This window comes from Homo sapiens, chromosome 18, assembly GCF_000001405.40.
Source record: "Homo sapiens chromosome 18, GRCh38.p14 Primary Assembly".
Taxonomy (NCBI): domain Eukaryota; kingdom Metazoa; phylum Chordata; class Mammalia; order Primates; family Hominidae; genus Homo; species Homo sapiens.
Window position 1 is genome coordinate 78,125,761 of NC_000018.10, and position 20,751 is coordinate 78,146,511.

The 20,751-nt window shown below is 45.4% G+C and overlaps 3 annotated features.

The window, feature by feature from the left end:
- Positions 12,651–13,294: an enhancer, noted in NCBI's record as "OCT4-NANOG hESC enhancer chr18:75898411-75899054 (GRCh37/hg19 assembly coordinates)". NCBI's record gives its function as "activates a minimal SCP1, AML or CMV promoter by ChIP-STARR-seq in naive H9 embryonic stem cells {active_cell/tissue: H9 hESC(naive)}" and the evidence as "EXISTENCE:reporter gene assay evidence [ECO:0000049][PMID:30033119]".
- Positions 13,295–13,938: an enhancer, noted in NCBI's record as "OCT4-NANOG-H3K4me1 hESC enhancer chr18:75899055-75899698 (GRCh37/hg19 assembly coordinates)". NCBI's record gives its function as "activates a minimal SCP1, AML or CMV promoter by ChIP-STARR-seq in naive H9 embryonic stem cells {active_cell/tissue: H9 hESC(naive)}" and the evidence as "EXISTENCE:reporter gene assay evidence [ECO:0000049][PMID:30033119]".
- Positions 13,939–14,582: an enhancer, noted in NCBI's record as "H3K4me1 hESC enhancer chr18:75899699-75900342 (GRCh37/hg19 assembly coordinates)". NCBI's record gives its function as "activates a minimal SCP1, AML or CMV promoter by ChIP-STARR-seq in naive H9 embryonic stem cells {active_cell/tissue: H9 hESC(naive)}" and the evidence as "EXISTENCE:reporter gene assay evidence [ECO:0000049][PMID:30033119]".

The following is a 20,751-nucleotide window of genomic DNA, read 5'->3' on the forward strand; positions in this document are numbered from 1 at the left end:
GCATGTGAGTGTGTGTGCCTGTGTGAGTGTACGCATGTGTGGCCGTGTGTTTGCACACGCACATGTGTGTGCCTGTGTGTTTGCACATATGCATGCGTGTGCCTATGCCTGTGTGTTTGTGCATGTGCATATGTGTGCGTGTGTGTTTGCACATGTGCATGTGTGCCTGTGTGCGTGTGTGCATATGTATGTGTGCCTGTGTCTATGTGTGCCTGAGTGTGTTCGTACAGCTGTATGTGTGTGCCTGTGAGTGTGTGCCTGTATCTGAGTGTGTTTGTACGTGTGTGCATTTGTGTGTGTCCCTGAGTGTTTGCACATATGCATGTGTGTGCCTGTGCCTGTGTTTTTGTGTGTGCATGCATGTTCGTGTGCCTATGAGTGTGTGTTTGCACATGTGAGTGCGTGTGCATGTGCCTGTGTGTGAGAATGTGTATGTATGTGCCTGTGCCTGTATGTGTTTGTGCGTGTGCATGCATGTTCATGTACCTGTGTGTGTTTGCACGTGGGTGTGCATGTGCCTGCGAGTGTGTGTGAGCATGTGTTTGTGTGTGTATGTGCCTGTGTGTTTGCACGTGTGTGCAAATGTGTCCATGTGTCTGTGAGTGTGTTTGCGCACGTGCGTGTGTGTCTGAGTGTGCGTGTGTGTGCGTGTGCACACAGACACATGGCATGTTCACGCACACAATTCACCTGCTGCTTAGACTTTGTGCCTGCGAGTGTGTCCATGTCTCTCTTTTGCTTTCTTTGGCTGTTCTACCGCAAAAGACCCAAACACCCTGACTGGCCAAACGCACCAGCTATGGAGGGGATGCAGACACGTGTGTACGGCCTAGCTCCTCCCGCAGCCTCCGACAGCTTGCGGGGTGAGCACGGTTAACAAACCCTACAGCTGGCGGATCTGTGCAGACATAATTGCACACGAATGGCGGGGGAGCCGGGAAACCAGGAAGAAATAAAATAGATAACAAGCGAAGGGAAAAGTGGCACCGTAAACAAGCCGCGTCTTTTCCCTCCGCAGAGCGAGCCGTGTGTCTGGAGGCGGTGTCTGTGTGCAGCTTGACTCCTAATCCATATCGCAAACAGCTTCCAGATGCTTCCAGCCCCAACCTACTCGGGGATTCCTGCCCTTCACAGATGCCTCTCCAGGAGGGGGGTCTGTCTGTAAGTAAAATGGGGTGGATTTTACTAATCATTCATTTCCAATCTTCCTGACGGAGACTTTTATTAATAAACTCGTTTCATCTGTCTCTTTGATGAGGAAGAATTTACCCGCTTAGCCATGGGAAAGGAGCAGGAGGGCTGGGTGGCTGTCGTTGTGAGTGTGGGTTTGTGTTTGTGCACACACACTCTGTGGACATGCCGAAGAGGAAGGACGTGCACGAAAACGCAGACCACCAGCCCTCAGAGGCTCCAGTGGGGCTTGGGCAGCGGCGAGGGGTGGAAGGGAACCGGCCGCTCCCTGGCACGAAGGCCGGACGGATGCCCGGTCCCCTTCCTGGCTGCAGCCACCCTGTGCGGCCCCAGTGCTCTGGAACTGGCGGAGGTGGGGGGCACTGGCTGGTGGGATTGAGGCCACACTGGGAGACTCGCCGTCCCCAGCCGTGCTCTCACAACCTTGCCTGTCATTGAGGCTGTCTGCTTAATCGAGAGACACAAAGAAAACCCTTCTTGCGTCCTAGGGTTGGCTTGGAATAAGGGAAGAGGTGGCTTCCTTTCTCTTTCTTCCTGCTCCTGCTTCCGCCCCTGCTTATTTCCGCATGCTGTTCTAATCCGCGCCTTTGAAATGACAGCTTTCAGAACTGGGAGAGAAAATAACGGTGCTGATTAATTAATTCCCTGACAAATTTACAAGCTTTCAAATGAGTTTCATCCTAACCAGGTAAATCCTTTCACTTTTCTCTGCGGAGATGCTTTTCCTTCCCTCCTGCTCCCTTAATCCCAGTGCCACCCTCTGGATTTCAGCAATTGACTGAGCTTCCCAATTCCAAGGAAAACGGAGGTGATTAGAATCAAATTTCCCCAAATTCTCCCCTTGCACCTGGTCCATCATGGCTCCTCCATGTGAACCTTCCTCTTGCCTCAGAGCAGAGGCGTCGCCAGACTCCCCAAGCTCCTCGATCCCGGTGGCTCTAGGGCTGAGGTGCAGGCTCCTGCCTCCCTGGCCCTCTGCTCCTCAGCCTCTGCTTCCCATGCCCTCTGATCGCTCCTCCCATCCACCTGGGGCGAGGACTTACTGTATCCTCTCACCGCCCAGCTCTCATTCTCTCAGCAGCGTGACCAGAAGCACCTGAGTTTGGTTCCTAAGTCAAATCCCTCTTTATTCCAAATGGCTTTCACAGCATCGTCTACATGATTATAAAACACAGACCTCATGCCTCTGCTCCCAGTGGCCACCCTTATGCCCAGAACAGGTGCCAGGCGACTCCACCTGCCTGCCAGTCACCATTCTGTCCACACATCCAAGGGCCGCACGACCAGCTCTTCCCAAATACACCTCAGCCTTGGGCTGCTCACTCCACGATGGGTACCCATACCTCCCTACCCGGCCAGGCAAACCCTACTCTTTCAGAAGCTTCCATGCATGGGTCAGCCCCCTTGGTTGTTCCACTGACCATTACCCAGCCCTCAGCAGGCACAGGAATGATTGCTGTCCATTTACTCATTTTCTTTTCTTTCCTGCCTTTCACATATTCTCTTGTCACATTGAATTACTCGACTCTCATAGATGATGTGTTTCTTAAGGGCAGAGCCCGTGCCCAGATCACGGTACCTTTGAAACAGGTATTTGCTGGATAATTTTACTTGACAACACTGGGTCTCTGAAAGGTTAATTGGCCTGCCTCAGACAGCAGAGCAAGGAAGGGGGGTGAGAGCGGAAGAAGCCTGGGTGTCCCCTCTCAGTACCTGGATTGGGGTCCCCACTCTATCCTGTCCCCTGCTTCCAGACTCCAAGCCCAGATCTTGTTGTCTTTGCTGCTTTGTTAAAGATTAGAGATGTGATTAATAGTAGAAAACAAGACCATCTTTTAAAATATCTTACTACTGCAGGGCATCTTTAAGTTATTTCTGTTGTTCAATTGTGCTGTCTAACAGTGACCCCCAAAATTCATGCCCACCCAGAACCTCACAATGTGACTGTATTTGCAAATAGGGTCTTTGCAAATGTAATCAGGTTAATATGAGGTCACATGGAATTTGGCTGGGCCCTAATCCAGTGACTGCTGTCCTTTTAAAAAGAGGGAAATTTGGACACAGATACAGAAAAGAAATGGCCCTGCAGAAACGTGGAGTCCCACACAGGAAGGAGCCTTGTGAAGAGGGGGTAGGATCACATGTTTGTGTCCACAAGCTGAGGACTGCTGGAGCCCCAGAAGCTGGAGGGGTGGGGGAGGACCTTCCCCTAGGACCTTCAGAGGGAGCCCCAGAAGGTGGAGGTGTCGGGGAGGACCTTCCCCTAGGACCTTCAGAGAGAGCGGAGCCCTGCCGACACCTTGATCTCCAGCTTCTAGCCTTGGTCTGTTCTTGCACTGCTGTCAAGAAATACCAGAGACTGGGTAATTTATGAAGAAAGGAGGTTCAATTGACCATGGTCCTGCAGGCCACACAGGATGCTCGGTGCTGGCATCCGCTTGGCTTCTGGGGAGGCCTCAGGAAGCTACAATCACTGTGGAAGTCAAAGGGGAGCAGATGTCACATGGCCGGAGCAGGAGCAAGAGTGTGGAGGGGCCACACGCTTTTAAACAACCGGATCTCCTGGGAATTCATTCACGATCGTGAGGACAGCACCGGGGGTTGGGGGGGGGGTGGCACAAAAGCATTCATGAGAAATCCACCCCTGTGGGCCAGTCACCTCCCACCAGACCCCACCTCTAATACTGAGAATCACAATTCAACCTGAGATTGGGGTGGGACAGATATCTGAACCATATCACACTATGAAAGAATAAATTCGTGTTCTTTTAAGCCACTCATTTTGTGGTAATTTGTTGTGGCAGGCGTGGGCATCTGATATACCCATTAAATCATCACAGGTGCCAAAGCTCACACTCACGTACGAGGCAATTTTCAACTGTCAGGATCAACGTGGTTTCTTCCTTACATGGCAAACCTATCCCAAAGTTATGCTCTCAATTCAGACAGGAACTCAGGAAAGCCAAGGCTGCTTGGAGAGTGGGATAAAATATTTATGTTTGGTCAGTGAGGTCAATGCAGACAGAAATAGAGTGGCTTCAGTGAACTTCGAGAATCCCGTCTCACCCCTCGGGACAGAACAGGGCAGGAGTATGTCCTGGCATTTCAAATAGAGCCAGTGACTGCCCCAAATTCCCATTGCTAATGTCAGCAGGCATAGGTTAGATGTGTGTACAATGGCATTGGCTGAACTGTGTGTACCACAGTCTATGGGTAGCATTAGACACGGGCTTTTCAGAACACACACAATCCCTTCCTCCTGATGATTGATTCTGGAAAACTTATGTTTAGATTTTTTGCCTTGGATCACAGGAAATTCTGAACTAAAGTTGACCCTTCAGAGTGATGATTAAATTGTCTTCCAGATAAGCTTTATTTTTTCCTTTTTGTGGTCTCGACTATCCATGCATTTTTCTTATTGAACATGTGATAAGCTTTAGTAAGTCAGTGAAACCCTGTGGGGAGGAAGTGGGTTGCAGACGTAGATTCTGACAGTTACATGAACATATGCATGAAAGCAGAGATTAAAAACTGGCACATGTGAGCTCCAAAAAGCTGTCAGACCCAAGGCTTGGTGTGGGAGCAGGTGTCCTGAGAGGTGCACGACACAGAGGAGGAGTGAGGTGGGAGGACAGATGAGCAGAGAGAGCTGGACACGGTCACGGCACAATCTCCCATGAGCAAAGACAGAGAAGGCTGAGTGCACATGCCCAGGTGGAGCCAGGAACGCACTGGCTCGGCTGCCACAGAGGGTTTGTGTGTGAGAGACAGAGAGTGTGAGTGTGCACACCCAGCTGGATTCGGGAATGCACTGGCTTGGCTGCCTCAGAAGGCTTGTGTATGAGAGGTGGAGAGTGTGAGTGTGCACACACAGGTGGATTTGGGAACACACTGGCCTGGCTGCCTCAGAGGGCTTGTGTATGAGAAGCAGATAGTGTGGGTGTGCACACCCAGGTGGATTCAGGAATGCATTGGCTCAGCTGCCGCAGAGAGTTTGTGTATGAAAGACAGAGAGTGTGAGTGCTCATGCCCAGGTGGATTCGGGAACACGCTGGCCAGGCTGCTGCAGAGGGCTTGTGTATGAGAGGTGGAGCGGGGCTTAACAGGTAAGCAGAGTTTGTGCTGGGCAGAACCTCCCATGTTGGAGTAAGCCCTTTGGACTCACCTCTGATGATAAGGGAAATATGGCTCCAAGGCAGGCATAAATGATGCCAGTATGCATTTGCTGTGAAATTTCCAGAATCCCTTCAGTGGGCAGCGTTTCCAGTGGGGCTACACGAGGGGCTGTGCAGGACCCGCTCTGGGTGAGCAAAGGACTGATGCTCTTCTGCCCTAACCATACAGAGGACGTGATGCTGAGCCTCCCTTGGATGCCGGAGGCCACCTTCTCATCTTCACCTGTCACTTCTTCTTCCCTATGAAAAAGTTATAGGTACAAGAGAAACAAACAAACAAGGTAAAATAAACAAAAAAAAAATCACTCAATAAAAAGGCAAAGATAAAGCAGTAAAAGTAAGCAGCCACGGTGAGAACAAAAATGCCCAACTGGACAAAACCATCACAGAAGGCCAGGCAGGGTCTTTGGTCTAAATTAGAAACAAATAAAGCAATAAAGCATGTCTCCAGAGCGGAGTCTGAGGTCCAGCAAGGGAGCCGGGTTTAAGGGAGGGTCAGGGGTGAAGGTCTCGCAAGGCGGGCGTCTCTTGAGGCTGGCCTTCCCTCCAGATAACCACGGGCAGAGAGTGCTTGTCCTGACCACGGCGTGATGACCAGAGGACATCGGCCCTGGCCTGTGGCAGGCACCGAGCTCTCTGGAGCTTTGAACCCTCAAGAAAGCAGAGGTGCATGCGAACACTTAGCTTTGCCTCCTTCACTTTCTCAGACCCCAGAACGTCTCCCGGTGGAGTCCAGAGGGCAGAGAGTTCCGGGCACACACAGTCGGGGCTCCCGCATCCAACTGATGGGGTGGAGCCCTTCCTCTTCCTCTTAATTGATGCTGAACTTGAGCTCAGGCGAGATCGCATTTTTGTTTTGTTTATGTAACAAAGTGGATTAATACTGTTGTCTTTACCTGAAGGTTTCGATGAAGGTAAAAGAAAGTTTATGACAAACACTTAGCCCAGTGTCAGACATCTAGAATATTCAGAGCAAATTACAGCTATCAGTATGCACGAAAACCTTCACACACACGACAAAAATGTTGAAATTAACTAGGTGGTACATAGAACAGAAAGGAAGAGGCTTTTCAGATGAAAGGACCCCTTTGAATCTGAACCTCACCCCTCACTCGATGTTGAGCAAATTATTAAACCTCGTTGAGTCTGATTTTCCACATCAGTAAAAATACTTAAGAATGTATCTCACGTGTATGTAGAATCTTGTGTGCTCCAGAAATGCTACCTTCTTCTTCTCAAGCAGTGTTCCAGAAAGTATTCTATAGGTTATATAAGGTACTTTTCCCCCCAGCAGAAATTGACATCTAAAACATTTTAATCATTTGCCTTGTTTATTAAATATTCAGATTTAAGAAATGACTTCCTTCAAAGATTGACCTCTGCCTAGGCAAACTGTTGCATTCCTTTTGGATTTCATCTTAAATACTCAAACTGATGTTTTAAGTGCCTGCAGAATTGGGTCTATTCTTATTAAGCTATGTTTGTGTGTGTGTGTGTGTGTGTGTGTGTGTGTGTGTGTTCAATATTAAAGTAAAAAGAAGCTAATTGACCTAAAATAATTTTCTTCTTGAGAGACTCTGGAGATATGATTTGAAAATGATTGGTTTCGAAAGAAGAGATTATAAAAATTCTGATGAGTCTTTCTATTTTCTTTACACATACACGCACAACACACAAGCAACACACATGTACACACTCATACATGTGCACACAGAGACACACACATACAACACATGTAACAGCTGTGCACTCACACACACGCATGCACACACACATACACACACGTGTGTGCACACACAATTTTCCAGCTTATGCTGTAGTGATCTCATTAAGAAAGATTCTTTGAAAGTAAGAGTCAGTATTTGGGGTCCCTAAGCCAGCAATGACATGGCTTCTGATTGCCTTTTTAGGTGACTCTTTTGTTGCAGCTCAAGTGAGCTGGTCCCACATGAGGCTACCTGGTTGGCAACAGCAGAATTATGACACAAGTGATCTTGTTTTCTCCTTACCTTTGATTTTCTTTTTGGATTTTAATAAAATGAAATATGTAGCTTATCTATAAATTATCTGTCTAGGTTTACTTTTTATGTCCAGACCATTTTAGGATCTATCCTTAAAGAAGTGCCACAAAAGAAGTAAAATTACTATTAATACTTTAATAGTTAATACAAATAAAAGATTTTTATTGTATTTTTAATTTTAATGGAGGTTAATTTTGATGATAAGAAAGGAAGAGATGATAAAGGAAGGAGAAAGAAAGGGAGGCAAAAGGAAAATCTGAACTTCTAGGTTAAGGTTTTTAGAAATATATACAATTTCATTTAATACATATTTAAGAAGTAATAGTAAATAATTGATCCTTTTTAGACATAAGTGGCCCATCCCAGAAGCCAAAGCCAAAACAAATGACAAGAATCACTCTGCCATCTTTGGCCTTAGTAGATGGCTTTTGCAGACCAAGTTTTGTGGTAGCGTGGGGAGGAATGCTAACATGAGTGGCTCTAGAGGAACCACATACTTGTGTGAGCTTTCCCTTTAGTTTGCTTTTGCAAGGTAGGGGTCACCATCCAGATCAAAACCAGACATAGTACCAGTTAACACACTCCTTGCAAAACCAGTGTCTACTTCTTGGTGCCTCAGTAGATTCCAAATCAAACCCACATTCTGCCTGGGCACCACATAGTGTTAAAAAGAGGCATTCCATGACAGAGTGTGACCATATCTGACACGACAACACATGACAGCACATGGCAATGCATGACACGATAGCACATGACAGTACATAGCACAGGACATCAAGTGACGACACACAGCATGTGGCATGACAGCCCCTGACAAAACATCACAATGCATGATGTGATAGTACATGAAAGTAGATAGCACATGGCATCGCATGACGATGCATAGCCTGTGGCGTGACAGCACATGACAGCATGACAGCACATGGCAACAACACACGACACAGGGATCAGCATTCAAACAGTAAGTGCAAAGCAGCTAGTTTAGTCATTGCCAATTTAACATGAAAAGCAGCTCTACAAATTGGAACTTTAAAAGCAATTGAATTTGTGATTCAACTGTTATATTTGTCTTTTGTAAAATAAATATATGTTCAAGTCAAATATTTATTGAGTGCTCAGCAGTGAACTAGACAGGAAATGGGATGAAGATCCAGGTGTGTGTCCTTCCCGGGGAAATGGGATGGAGATCAAGCTGTGTGTCCTTCCTGGGGAAATGGGATGGAGATCGAGGTATGTGTCCTTCCAGGGGAAATGGGTGAAGATCGAGGTGCGTGTCCTTCCTGGGGAAATGGGATAAAGATCGAGGTATGTGTCCATCCTGGGGAAATGGGATGAAGATCGAGGTGTGTGTCCTTCCTGGGGAAATGGGATGAAGATCGAGGTGTGTGTCCTTCCTGGGGAAATGGGATGGAGATCGAACTGTGCGTCCTTCCTGGGGAAATGGGATGGAGATTGAGCTCTGTGTCCTTCCTGGGGAAATGGGATGGAGATCGAGGTGTCTGTCCATCCTGGGGAAATGGGATGAAGATCGAGGTGTGTGTCCTTCCTGGGGAAATGGGATGGAGATCGAGCTGTGCGTCCTTCCTGGGGAAATGAGATGGAGATCAAGGTGTGCGTCCATCCCGGGGAAATGGGATGGAGATCGAGCTGTGTGTCCTTCCTGGGGAAATGGGATGAAGATCGAGGTGTGTGTCCATCCCGGGGAAATGGGATGAAGATCGAGGTGTGTGTCCTTCCCCCAGGGAAATGGGATGAAGATCGAGGTGTGTGTTCATCCTGGGGAAATGGGATGAAGATCGAGGTATGCGTCCTTCCTGGGGAAATGGGATGAAGATCGAGGTGTGCGTCCTTCCTGGGGAAATGGGATGAAGATCGAGGTGTGTGTCCATCCTGGGGAAATGGGATGAAGATCGAGGTGTGTGTCCTTCCTGGGGAAATGGGAAGGAGATCCAGGTGTGTGTCCTTCCCCCAGGGAAATGGGATAGAGATCTAGGTGTGTGGCCTTCCCCTGGGGAAATGGGATGAAGATCGAGGTGTGTCCTTCCACTGGCCTCTTATGCACAGTTATGTTATTTCCAGGCAGTCTCTGTGTTCACTCAGGTTTGAGTGTAAAATCCCCACAACTTTCTGTGTTTATCTCCTGTTTGGTTTCCTTCTTTAACTTATCTTTCTTATTTTTGTGTCTCTTTGCTTCCACATCTGTGAAGAGTTTAGAGGCACCTGTATAGTTTTAGGGCACAGTCCCTGATACTACCCTGACTTCAATGATAAGTTCAGGGGTTCCCAAAGCTGCCCCCAGTTTCAATAAATGTGCTGGGAGGACTCCCAGAACTCACTGAGCTGGTGTCCTCGTGGCTTTGGTTTGTTACAGGAACAGGACCTGGGTTGTCTGGGGAAGCCATGCATAGGTGGCGGTGGGGACGCACACAGGGCTTTTCAGTGTCCTGATCACACGGAGTCAGGAGATGAGACTCTGTCCTCTCTCAACAGCAGGAATGACAATGAGCATGGAGATTGTCCAACATGGGAGCTCCCCGAGCTCGGTGTTCAGAGTCTCTACGGGGCCTCCACTACATGGGCGAGGTAAGTCCACCGTTTGGTCCGTGTGGTTTAGCTCGGTCCCCATGTCAGTGGATCCTGTGCAACCCAATGTCCCCATCTGAATCACCTTTTGCCATCCGGCCAGCCCAAGACCCCCAGGCAGACAAAGATCATCCTGCAGGAGCCAACCCTACACCTTTTGGGGGCAAAGTTAAGTTCTTTACTACCCAACACGCAGGAGCTGTCCCTGCGTTAAAGACAGTTTATCACCTCCACACAGGAATCCCAGGATGGCATGTCAGTCAAACCTGAATTTGACTACACTGTCACTTAATACCTGTATAATTTTGGATAGTAACTTAGCTCTGCTCAGCCTTGCTTTTTCACAGTGACAGGCACAGTACCTCAAATGCCGTAGCACTCAGAATTTGTCACCTCACCATGATTATTACAAAGCAATCTGTCTCCTTCATGCTACCCTAAAAAGTTATCTAAGACCCTCTGAATTTCATAGATTTCCTCCTCCATTCAGCAAACACTCACTGGGCTTTCATCAGCCTTAGTCTCTCTTTTAAGGGACTGATACATGAATGAAAAAACAGTCTGTACCCACAAGGGGCTTGCACTCTGGTGGAAAGAGAGAGAAGGTAAACAGACACACAAATGCACTATTATGAATGCCACAGCAGGTGTTTTTACAAAGGAAAGTACATCTCACTGGTAAAGTTGTGGAGGTTTCAGAAGAAAGAAAACACATGTATTAGAACAAAAGATAATTTGCAAAATGAGGAGAGCATTCTGAGTGTGATGGTTGGTTTTATGTGTCTGCTTGATTAGACTAAGGGGTGCCCAGGAAGCTGGTAAAACATTATTTCTGGGTGTTCCTTTTGGGTGCTTCCAGATGAGATTCTCATTTTACTCAGTAGACTGAATAAATGAGACATCAGCTCTCACCCATATGGGGGACCTCTTCAGTCTGTTGAGGCCTAAATAGAGCAAGAAGGCAGTGGAAGGTGAATTCACGCTTTCTGTGAACTGGGATATCCATCTTCTGCTGCTGGAGTTCCTGGTTCTAAGCCTTTGACCTTGGCCTGAACTACACCATTGGTTCCCTTGGTTCTCAGGCCTTTGGGGTTGGACAGGGCCTTACAGCCCTTGCACATGGCAGGTCATGGGACTTCTTGTACTCCGTGATCACATGAGCCAGTTCCTCATAATAAATCTCATCCCTCTCTCTCTCTCTCTCTTCTCTATAGTTCTGTTTCTCTGGAGAACGCTGGACAGATAGAAAAGCGTAGGTCTGAAGAGTGAGAAATGCTCACATATTCTCAATCATGCACGTTGCTATAGATTGAATTCCTCCCACCCAAATTCATATATTGAAACCCAACTTTCCAATGTGACTTTAAGAGGAGGTGTGACTCCTGGGAAGGGCATAGGTTAGATGAAGCCATGCATGTGAGGCCCCCGTGATGAGATCTTATGAAAAGAGGAAGAGACGCCACTGCTCTCTCCTCTCTTTTTGGGCACCTGCCATGAGAAGGCACATTGAGAAGCCAGCCGTCTGTGAATCGGGAAGGGAGCCCTCACCAGAACCCAGCCCAGCTGTACTCTGGACTCGAACTCCCAGCCTCCAGAACTCTGAGAGGTAAATTTCTGTTTTTTATAAGCCACCTAGGCCATATAATATTTTGTTTTGGCCACCAGAGTGGACTAAGACACTGATGTAATAAAATTGTTTCAGCAGTGAAGTGTAAAACAAAACACACTGAGAACTTCTGCTTTCAGCCCTGGGAGCCCCTGAAAGCCTCAGGCACGGGAATGACAAGTTGAGCAGCAACAGAGCACAGACAGGAGAGTAAAGCTGGGAGCCTGGGAAGGTCCCAAGTAGCCTGGACGGGGCCTGTGTGGATGAGGGTGTGTCGGGGGAGGACACCAGATGTGTTTAGGAGGAAGGAAGGAGAACCTAGCTATGGCCGGCATTTGGCTGGTAAAGAGATGCCTTCTCAGCAGCATCAAAGCATCGTGACCTTCTCTGAGTGGAGAAAAGAAAGAGGTGTGGGCAGAAAAGTTGCCAGGGAACAGTGCAATGGTTAGGAACATGGGCTGTCATCACAGAGAGCATGGGTTCAAATTCTGGCTCTAGCAGTGACCACCGGTGGCCTCGAGCACATGGGCACGTCAGCATCCCGGTAGGTCCCTCTGCAAAAGGGCAGTAAAGAACCTAGACAGTCAGTCTGAACAAGTTCCACTCACTGTAGAGAGTGGGGGATATGCTGGTTCAGATGTGAAGATGTAAGAGCTCTGCCCGACAAGTGCCAACCATGATGGTATGTCCAGGGCCCCCAGCTTGCTGGACATATGTCCTCTGATGCACTGGGGGTACATTGTTGACCATGATGGTGTGTCCAGGGCCCCCAGTTTGCTGGACACATGTCCTCCAATGCCCTGGGGGTGCATTGCAGGCTGTCCCCTCTCTCAGCACCTCAGACTTGCAGGACTTCAGCAACAGCCCTCATGTTCAGCAGGGTGACCCCTGTGAAAGGACTGAGCTCTTAACCTGTGTCCTGGTCTCTCCCCAAACAGACCTGGCTGTTCTCACCCTTGGCCCCTGATTCCTGCAGCGTGAATCAAATCTAAAGTCTTCTGGTTCCATCCTGTTGTGTGGGAAACACAACCCCCTTCCTCTGTGGCCTCCTTTTCCCTCCTGCTGGAGCACCGCTGCTAGGCCTGATCTGCAAAGCTGCAAGGTTGTTTCCAGCACTTTGGGAACTTAATATGTCTACAGCTTTCACACCAGGCTGCCCCTCTTCTCAAAAGACATCTGAACCTAGCACAGGTTAATTAGATCATTATTTCAAGAGACAAAAGCTACAAGAAGTCCCCAGCAGCACACACACATTTCCAGTGATGTCAGACTTTAAAATTGTTTGTATTTATTCCCTAAAGAAAGAAGTGCTGCCACAGTGAAATTATTATTTTTAAAAGTGCTGCAAAAATATTTTACAAACTTTACCTTCAACTGTGATTTCTCCCTCTTAGCAATTCATAATTATATATTGCCTTCTCCAAATTCCCAACCTACTGATTCCATTCCTAACAGTGAATGAATCCTTCTAGTTCCTTTCATAATTACTTTAGCTTTTCTCCAGAAAAGCTTTTTGTTGTTGTTTTACTTCGTGGAAACATATGGCTGATGGTGGGGACTTTACTGTTTCCTAATTTGAAAAAGAAAGCCATCAACTTCCACTCACCTATGAATGGGGTATTTCCTCGTCGATGGTCACATCAGAAGAGGGGCCCAAGTGTGCACCCAGCATGTACTAAAAGCCGCAAGTGGAGAGCTGGGGCCATCTGCAGCAGATGGCCCCACACACAGCGCCACCATGAAAGGCCATTGGAAACAATTAACTCCATTCACGCTAAGCAGAAATAAACAATCACCCATTCAAGTGAGAATTAGTTCCACTATCTTTCTCCAAGTCATCAAAACAAAGCTCTCCGAGTTGGGATACCTCCTAAAGTACCTTAGCAGCACGGAACCACACAAACATCCCCTTGCTTGCCGATTTCTGTAACCCAAGCCAGAGATAACTCGACATTTGCATTACTAATTGCTCTCTTCCAGAACTTGTTGACGCTTGGGTTGGTTTTGAATAGACCGCTAAGTGGCTCTCCAGACATAAGCAGGGCCCATCTCACCAACTGCAAACAAGCTCGCCTATCTGTCATCAGGCGGCTATTTCTTTGCTCCAAGAAATAGACAGAAAGTCCCCTGAACACTCTAGAGGGATCTGTTTAGATGAAGAGCGTGGGCGGCCACCCTCCCTCCTGCTTTTCTGCTCTGGCGTTGGCTCTTGATGCTGAAGGGTCCATGCACCACACCCGCCTCTCTCCTGCAGGAAGTCCCCAGCCCTGGGAGCCCACGCCTCTCCCCTCGTGCCCTCAGTGGGCGCCTTCCCTATCCATCAGTTGCAGGGACAGGTCTTGGTGCTGGCCTGTTCTCCATAAGCCTCCCCTGCTAATGCGATGCTATGACCATGCGGCCACTGCCCGCTTTGTCCTGGTACTCCCCAAAAGACTCGGGTTTGAACTGCGGAAACATTTAGGTGAGGGTGGAAGTGCAAGTCGGTGGCATAATTAATTAAGTGATTGCATTTATGCGGCTCCTCTGCTTTTGAGTCCAATGCTTAGAAAGTGAAAGGATCTTAGCTGTGTCATCACTAGCATCACAAATGGAGACAACGGGGCGTGTAGGGAAAGGATAACTGAGAAGAAGATACAACAAGCAGGAGCTGCACACGGCAGGGCCGCAGCCGAAAGACGCCCCAGCAGCAACTGGCATCAAGATTCCTCAGACTCCATGAGTCTTGCTGCCAGGGGATAGGGTCGGGGTGAGAAGAAACCCCTAAATCGAGACCTGGCTGCCTTTTGCTGGCCAAACCAACCCCCACACAAATGTCCCTAACTTCATTTGTTTTCTAGGCCTGTTTCATAATCTGTGTTTTTCTCCGGCTTAATGCATTCTTCCCCGCCTTTGCCAGATATCCAGTAGTGACACAATAACAGGGACACAAACCAGCATTAAAGGGTAATTACCCACACGGCTCACTCCCCGAGCAGGGCTGTGGAGACACGTCTCTCCTCTCTGTTCCCTTCCCCATTCACCTCCCTGCAAAGGCTTTCTCTAAATCCTGCCTGTCCTACAAATCTCAGATTATGGTTAGCATCCTTCAAAAAGCCTTCCGTGGAGGCGCAGCCCCCATGCTCCGTGGGTAAAGAGTCTGGGCATGGTACCCTGGTGGCATGTGGCTCCTGTGGTGCTTGGCAAGGGGCGGCCTGGCCAGTGTTTCATTTGTCCCTTTTGCCGCTGAAACCGGAAGCTCCTTGAGAGTATGACCCTTGGATTTCCATCCCCAAGACCTGGTACTCCCTGTGTTTACTGGCACTCCATGCATGCTTGCTGAACACATGAATCGCTGACTTCCTTCTGCTACTCATTTGGAACCAGAAAATCTACCTTATTTTTGTTTCCATTTTCTTCATCTCGAAGGTGAGGGGACAATAGCCTTCCTCCCAAGACTGTGGAATAAATAAGAGACACATCGCTCCAAAACATTTTTTTTCGAATGTTTCCACTATAAAAGAACAGCTATATAAAATGACTTGACAAATATGTAATAAATGTACTTGCAAATCACTTAGAAGGCTTCTTGATGATTTGATGAAGTTTAAAAGTGCCAGGTTGTTGTGATTTCAGTGTATTTGCCTATTCATTCTCTGTTCCGTTAAGTGGAAAAACCCATTTTAATTCTGGTACAAAGGAGATGCACACTCCTGCTCGGAGTCACTCTAATGACATCAGCCGGGATGAAGCCGTTCCCGCCACTAACATCATCGTCATTACCGCTGGTAAAGGAGTGCTGTACAGCTCAAAAGAATTTCTTTTTTTAAAAAAATCAACTTATACCTACAGTAATTTTAGGTATGAAATTAAAGCAGGCAAAAATACCCAACCTTGGTAGATATGACAATCATTAAACGATGATCCCTGACAGTTTTGGAAAGAGTTCACAGCCTAAAGAAGTTGATTTCTAATTAGACGTGAATTATACTGTTTCCTATATTATGTTTAATTAAAGAATGAGCAAATAGTTGTGACAACTGGCGAGATGGTGATTTTGCACCATCTCGGGCTCAGCTACAGCTACAAAAGGGGCATGCAATCAGCAATTGTCTTTAAAAAGAGCACTTAGTGTAAAATGATTAGTTTCATCAATTTAGACCTATTTTCTTAAACAAATAGAACTACTAAAATCGCTTTGTCTGTTCAGATTAGAAGACCTTTTTACCACAGCAAAAGAGGACTATTTAAACTCCACTGGTTCTTCTTAAGGGGGCAAATCGCTTCATTTCACACCATTCACTGGCATCGCATTTACCACAAGTCTGAAAAAGTTTCTCTTGACAGATACTAATTTGCCTAATTTTAGTGTCCCACTATATAAAAACCCTAATTACTATTTATGTTAATCAGAATATTATTTTAATATTCCAGTACTTTATTATTCAAAGGAAAATTGCATCTGTAAAATTGTAATCAATGATTTCTGATAATCGGAAAGGTATTTGTATTTTTGTAAATAAAGGAAATGTAACTTTTAATGGAGGGGAAGGAAGTAGGCTAGCAAACCCAACTCCACTTAATACAGCAATTACGTACACATCTGTAATAAACACGCCCGCCCATACACATTGTTTTTGCATAATTTGGGTATGTGTAAATGAATGTTTCTTTCTTAAACCAATTTCTGAAACCCTCAGAGTAAGTGTAATGTAAATAGTTTGGAAATCACTATGCTATATATAAATTGCACAATTTTATAAAAATACATATGTATATGAAAAGTTACACACATATATCAGCATATGTATTTAGAGTTCGGAAGAAAGAAGCTAAAGCTAGGTCAGACAAATTGCTTTGGATAATATTGTGAGGAATACGTATCACAGATGTAAAGAGACAACATTTTGCGCTTAAAAATCAAGTAATCTAGAGGAAAAAAGCTCGCTGAATTTGAAATAAAATTGCATGTTGTAATATGTCATTAAAAAATTCAAGACAAGGTCTTAAAAGGTATTGTCAAAATCATTTAATTTCATGCCACATTATTTAGTGTATTTAAGGCCAGACAGAGGCTCCGAGATAATGCAAATATGTATATTCCTATTGTAATTTCACTTCACAGGTAGCCTAAATAAATGCTACAAAGAGTTTGGACTGCCTGCTGTAACTTAAAGCCGAACACTTTTCTAGAACCAGGAGAGTATGTCTAATCATTCTTCCTACTGAAATATTATTGTTAACCTAATATTAATTATATTTTCTTAGGTTAGGTTTTATACTATATTTTGTTTTATTATAATATTAATCTATTTTAAAATGGTATATGGATAATCTAATTTATTGGCTTGTTACATTAGCAAGATATTCACTTCAAGTAACCTGAAATGTATAGAGGCTTTTACATGATACCTTTAATCAATGGGGCTTGAATTCTTATCAGTGCATTTTGCATTATGATGGAAGACATTGATTAAGTTTTGCTTAATGGATTATCAGATATTATCTTCTGTGCAATTTGTAAAGAATTAGGCTAATAATTTTCTGATCTTAAGGTCCAGAAAATTTGGTTGCTTTAATAGGGCGTGATTTATTACTTGTACAATGATCAGTTTGATACAGAGTATGGCAATTAAATTTAGGAATGTTGTGTGGTTGCCTGCGAGAGAACATCAAACATAGGATGAATATAACGAAGAAAAGTATTTCCTAGACAGTATTTACGTGGTTACAAAATAAATTCATTTAAAGAAAATCAAAAATTAACACTTAACTAACTTTAGAGGAAATTCAGTACTGCTAAAAACTATCAAATTTATATATATATATATGGATTTCAAAGTAACTTATTAAAGCATGTGATGGGATGATAATATAATATAAAAAGGACACAAGCTTCTTACTGGATAATTAGTACAGTTAATCAATCTGACATGCTTAAAAAATATAGAGAATATCTAAAGGCTCGATTAAGGGAAAAATAACAACTAAGTATGTGAGGTGATATTTTGTTTCAAGAGAGTATACATTAAGATACTTTTTAACTCTGTATAGAGAAATTTGGAATTTTAAAAATGGAAATATAATGAATCTTTCAGGCCTGCAAAAAATTTCAATCAGATTTTAATATCAGTTATTACTTGTTTCTTGATTGCTTTCTTTTCCCCTTAATCCAACCTCATTTCTTCTAAAATTACCTCTGCATTATTGCTTTTTTAAAAAAAATACAAGAACGTTCTTTATATATGTGCGGTGTTTTTATCCTGTGCTTCTTTTTAACCAAATGATTTATTATGTCTACTCTTAGCCCACTCTTTGAAACTGTAAGCATGGCCACTCACACTGAAGTATCTGGGAATACACTAAAATATAATATTGGCCACATTAAATACCAACCAATCTTATAAACATCAATAATGTAAGTTGCATGCACTGAAAACCTCCGGGTGAAAGTAAAGAACTCAGACATTCATTTGACCAGATCAGACTCTGTCTAAACAGGTAGTCTTGCACAGACCAGTCATTTCCACAATTAATACTTTACTAACCATCTGCATTTTCTTACAAGATTATAAGGATAGATAAGAAGCATTAAGTAGACTACATGTTTTTGTGTATACAAATATTATTTTTAATTGGAATTATCTTTTCTAGTTAATATAGTTATTTTAAATTAGGGCAGAATACAGAGTAAAATATGCCACTAAACTTCTCAGACACCCAGAGAAAGCCCTGTGGTGGTTTGTAAGAGGCCTTCCTCCCCAAGTGGCCAAAATGCTGGGCCGTCGTGAAAATGAGAATGGCATTGGGAGCCCTAGAGGCATGGATGCTGAATGAGTGAATAAATAAATAAATAAATAAATAAATAAATTTTTGGTAGAGATGGGGTCTCTCTATGTTCCCCAGGCTGATCTCAAACTCCTGGGCTCAAGAGATCCTCCTGCCTTAGCCTCCCAAAGTGCCACCATGCCTGACCCTTGGATGCTGAATTTAATGGAATGCTAGAAAGTAGCAGATTATGAAAACACTAATTTCCTGATGGTGATTACCTTTTGAGACACTTATATTTTCTATGAGAGTGAAAACTGGTTTTGTTGAAGGTCATGTATTAATTCTCAATCTCTTTTTGGAGGTGGCGGCTATTTCACGGTTATATGAGAGCACTTTAAAAAAATTGGAAAAAGAAAGCTTCCTCTTGGAAAGTGTGATTACTCCCAACAATTGACTCCATTCTAAACATCTGAAACAGTATAAGCAACGACAGCTGCATTGGGGTAAATACATCAAATATACAGAAATATATAAAACTTAATCATGTCATTTATAGTGTGGCTGTTAAGCTGCAAATTGCATTGGAAAACGTTAAAAAAAATAAGGAAGGCACCTCAACAATCTGCCCACACAGCTCTTTTACATTAAGCTGGAAACTCATTCTGCATCCGTGTGAAACAAACTGGATCAGGTTCATAACCAGCACTTGAAAATGTTTTTGTTCTTACTCTGGCTGGTGGAGAGCAGGAGAGCACTCAGCCGGGACCGGCAGGATGTTCTCATTCTCCAGCCAGGAGCCGGTTCTGGCCCTCTGTGCGCAGGTAGCAGCAGCGTCGCTGGTGGGGAGGGGAGAGTCTACCTGCCAGGTCCCAGCTTTAAAAGACCCCAGGAGGAGCAGACTTCTGATTTAGCAGGGTTAGGTAGCGCTGACGAGAGTGCTTTACCCAGCATAGAACCTGGATTCCTCGGCTCCTGTCATCTTCCAGTAGAGAAACAGACAAGCTCCCGGCATCTCTGTATTGCAGTGGTTGGGTTTGCTGAGTGTGGTCATCGCACCCCTGTGTTGGAACACGGGATATTTGTTTGATGGTTGTAAATTCTGATATCTATTTCAATCCCTTTTTCAGGACAATTACACTCCCAGCCTACTTGTCTCCACTTCCTGCAGCCGCACCCACTCTCTAGGATCCTTAAGCGAAGAACAAGCCCAGGGCTGTCCAAAGGAAGGGGGATTTCCACTTCTTATCTTGCCTTACGTTGTATTTACACATCCAGTTCAGATGTCAGGAAAGCCGTCTGTCAGTTCAGGCGCGCAGGATGGCACTGGATCCACTGGGCGTGTTGGCCATGTTTGTGATTTCTGGACAATTGAGGAAGAGCCATATCTCTTTTGTTGAAAATAGATTTATGGCATATCCATACAACATTTGAAGACCATAACTTTAGCAGTTAATGATTTCATGTGAGTTTGTACACCAAACCTAGCTCAACATTTCATGTCTCATATAGTTGAATCAAGGTGATTTTCTTTCAGCTAAATATATGTTTGAAAATTATTTCCTAACGTAAAGATGGAATTAATCCTTGCCCATCCAGACTTCCATTTGCTGTAGTAATAGCTAACACCTACTATGGCCCTGTAATATGCCCAGCATTCTTTGAAACACTCTAAAGGTAGTTAAGTCCTTTAACTCCTAGGGCAGTCCTTATGAGGAAGATGAGAAACCTTTCTGCATTTGACTCTTGCAGAAATAAGAACCAGGGGAGTGAAGGGGCTCACCCAGTGTCACAGGAGCAGTCAGGGGTGGAGCCAGCGTGTGGACACAAGGCCTCTTCCAGCTGCCCACTGTTTCTATGCTGCCTCTCCGCACCCCACCGCAGGTAAGACCCTCCACAGTGTCATCGTGCACCTGCAGAAAGCCTGGAGCCATGTGCAGCCAGGCGTATACCTGGGAAATATACACCATCAAGTTATGTCCACTGGAATCTTCGGTGGCAGGATGGAGTTTTTAGACCAAACTCAATGTCTGTGTCTGAATGAATTCTTGGGGGATCAGCAGGTTTCCCAGTGAAAACTATTACGTGGCTCTGCTACCCCAAACCCCAAACACCCCTCCCCTGGAAACGCTTAGCACTGGAGGATCAGTTGATGCCGCACACTGTGAACTACGCTGGCATTGCCCAGATCTGCAAGGGGGGCCCTTCCTTTGTGTTTCCCATCAAGTCAGGAACCTCGAAGGCTTTCTGTGGTTCTCCTGCGCACCAGCTGCCAGGACCTGACCACTGCACCCACCATCGCCAGCACAGAAAAAATATCACCACTGTATCAGGGCAGATGGTCGGGAACAGCAACAAAACATTCCCCAACTAGAGCCGCAAACACAAACAGCGCCCATCATGCAGAAATTGCCTTGGCGTGCGGGTCATT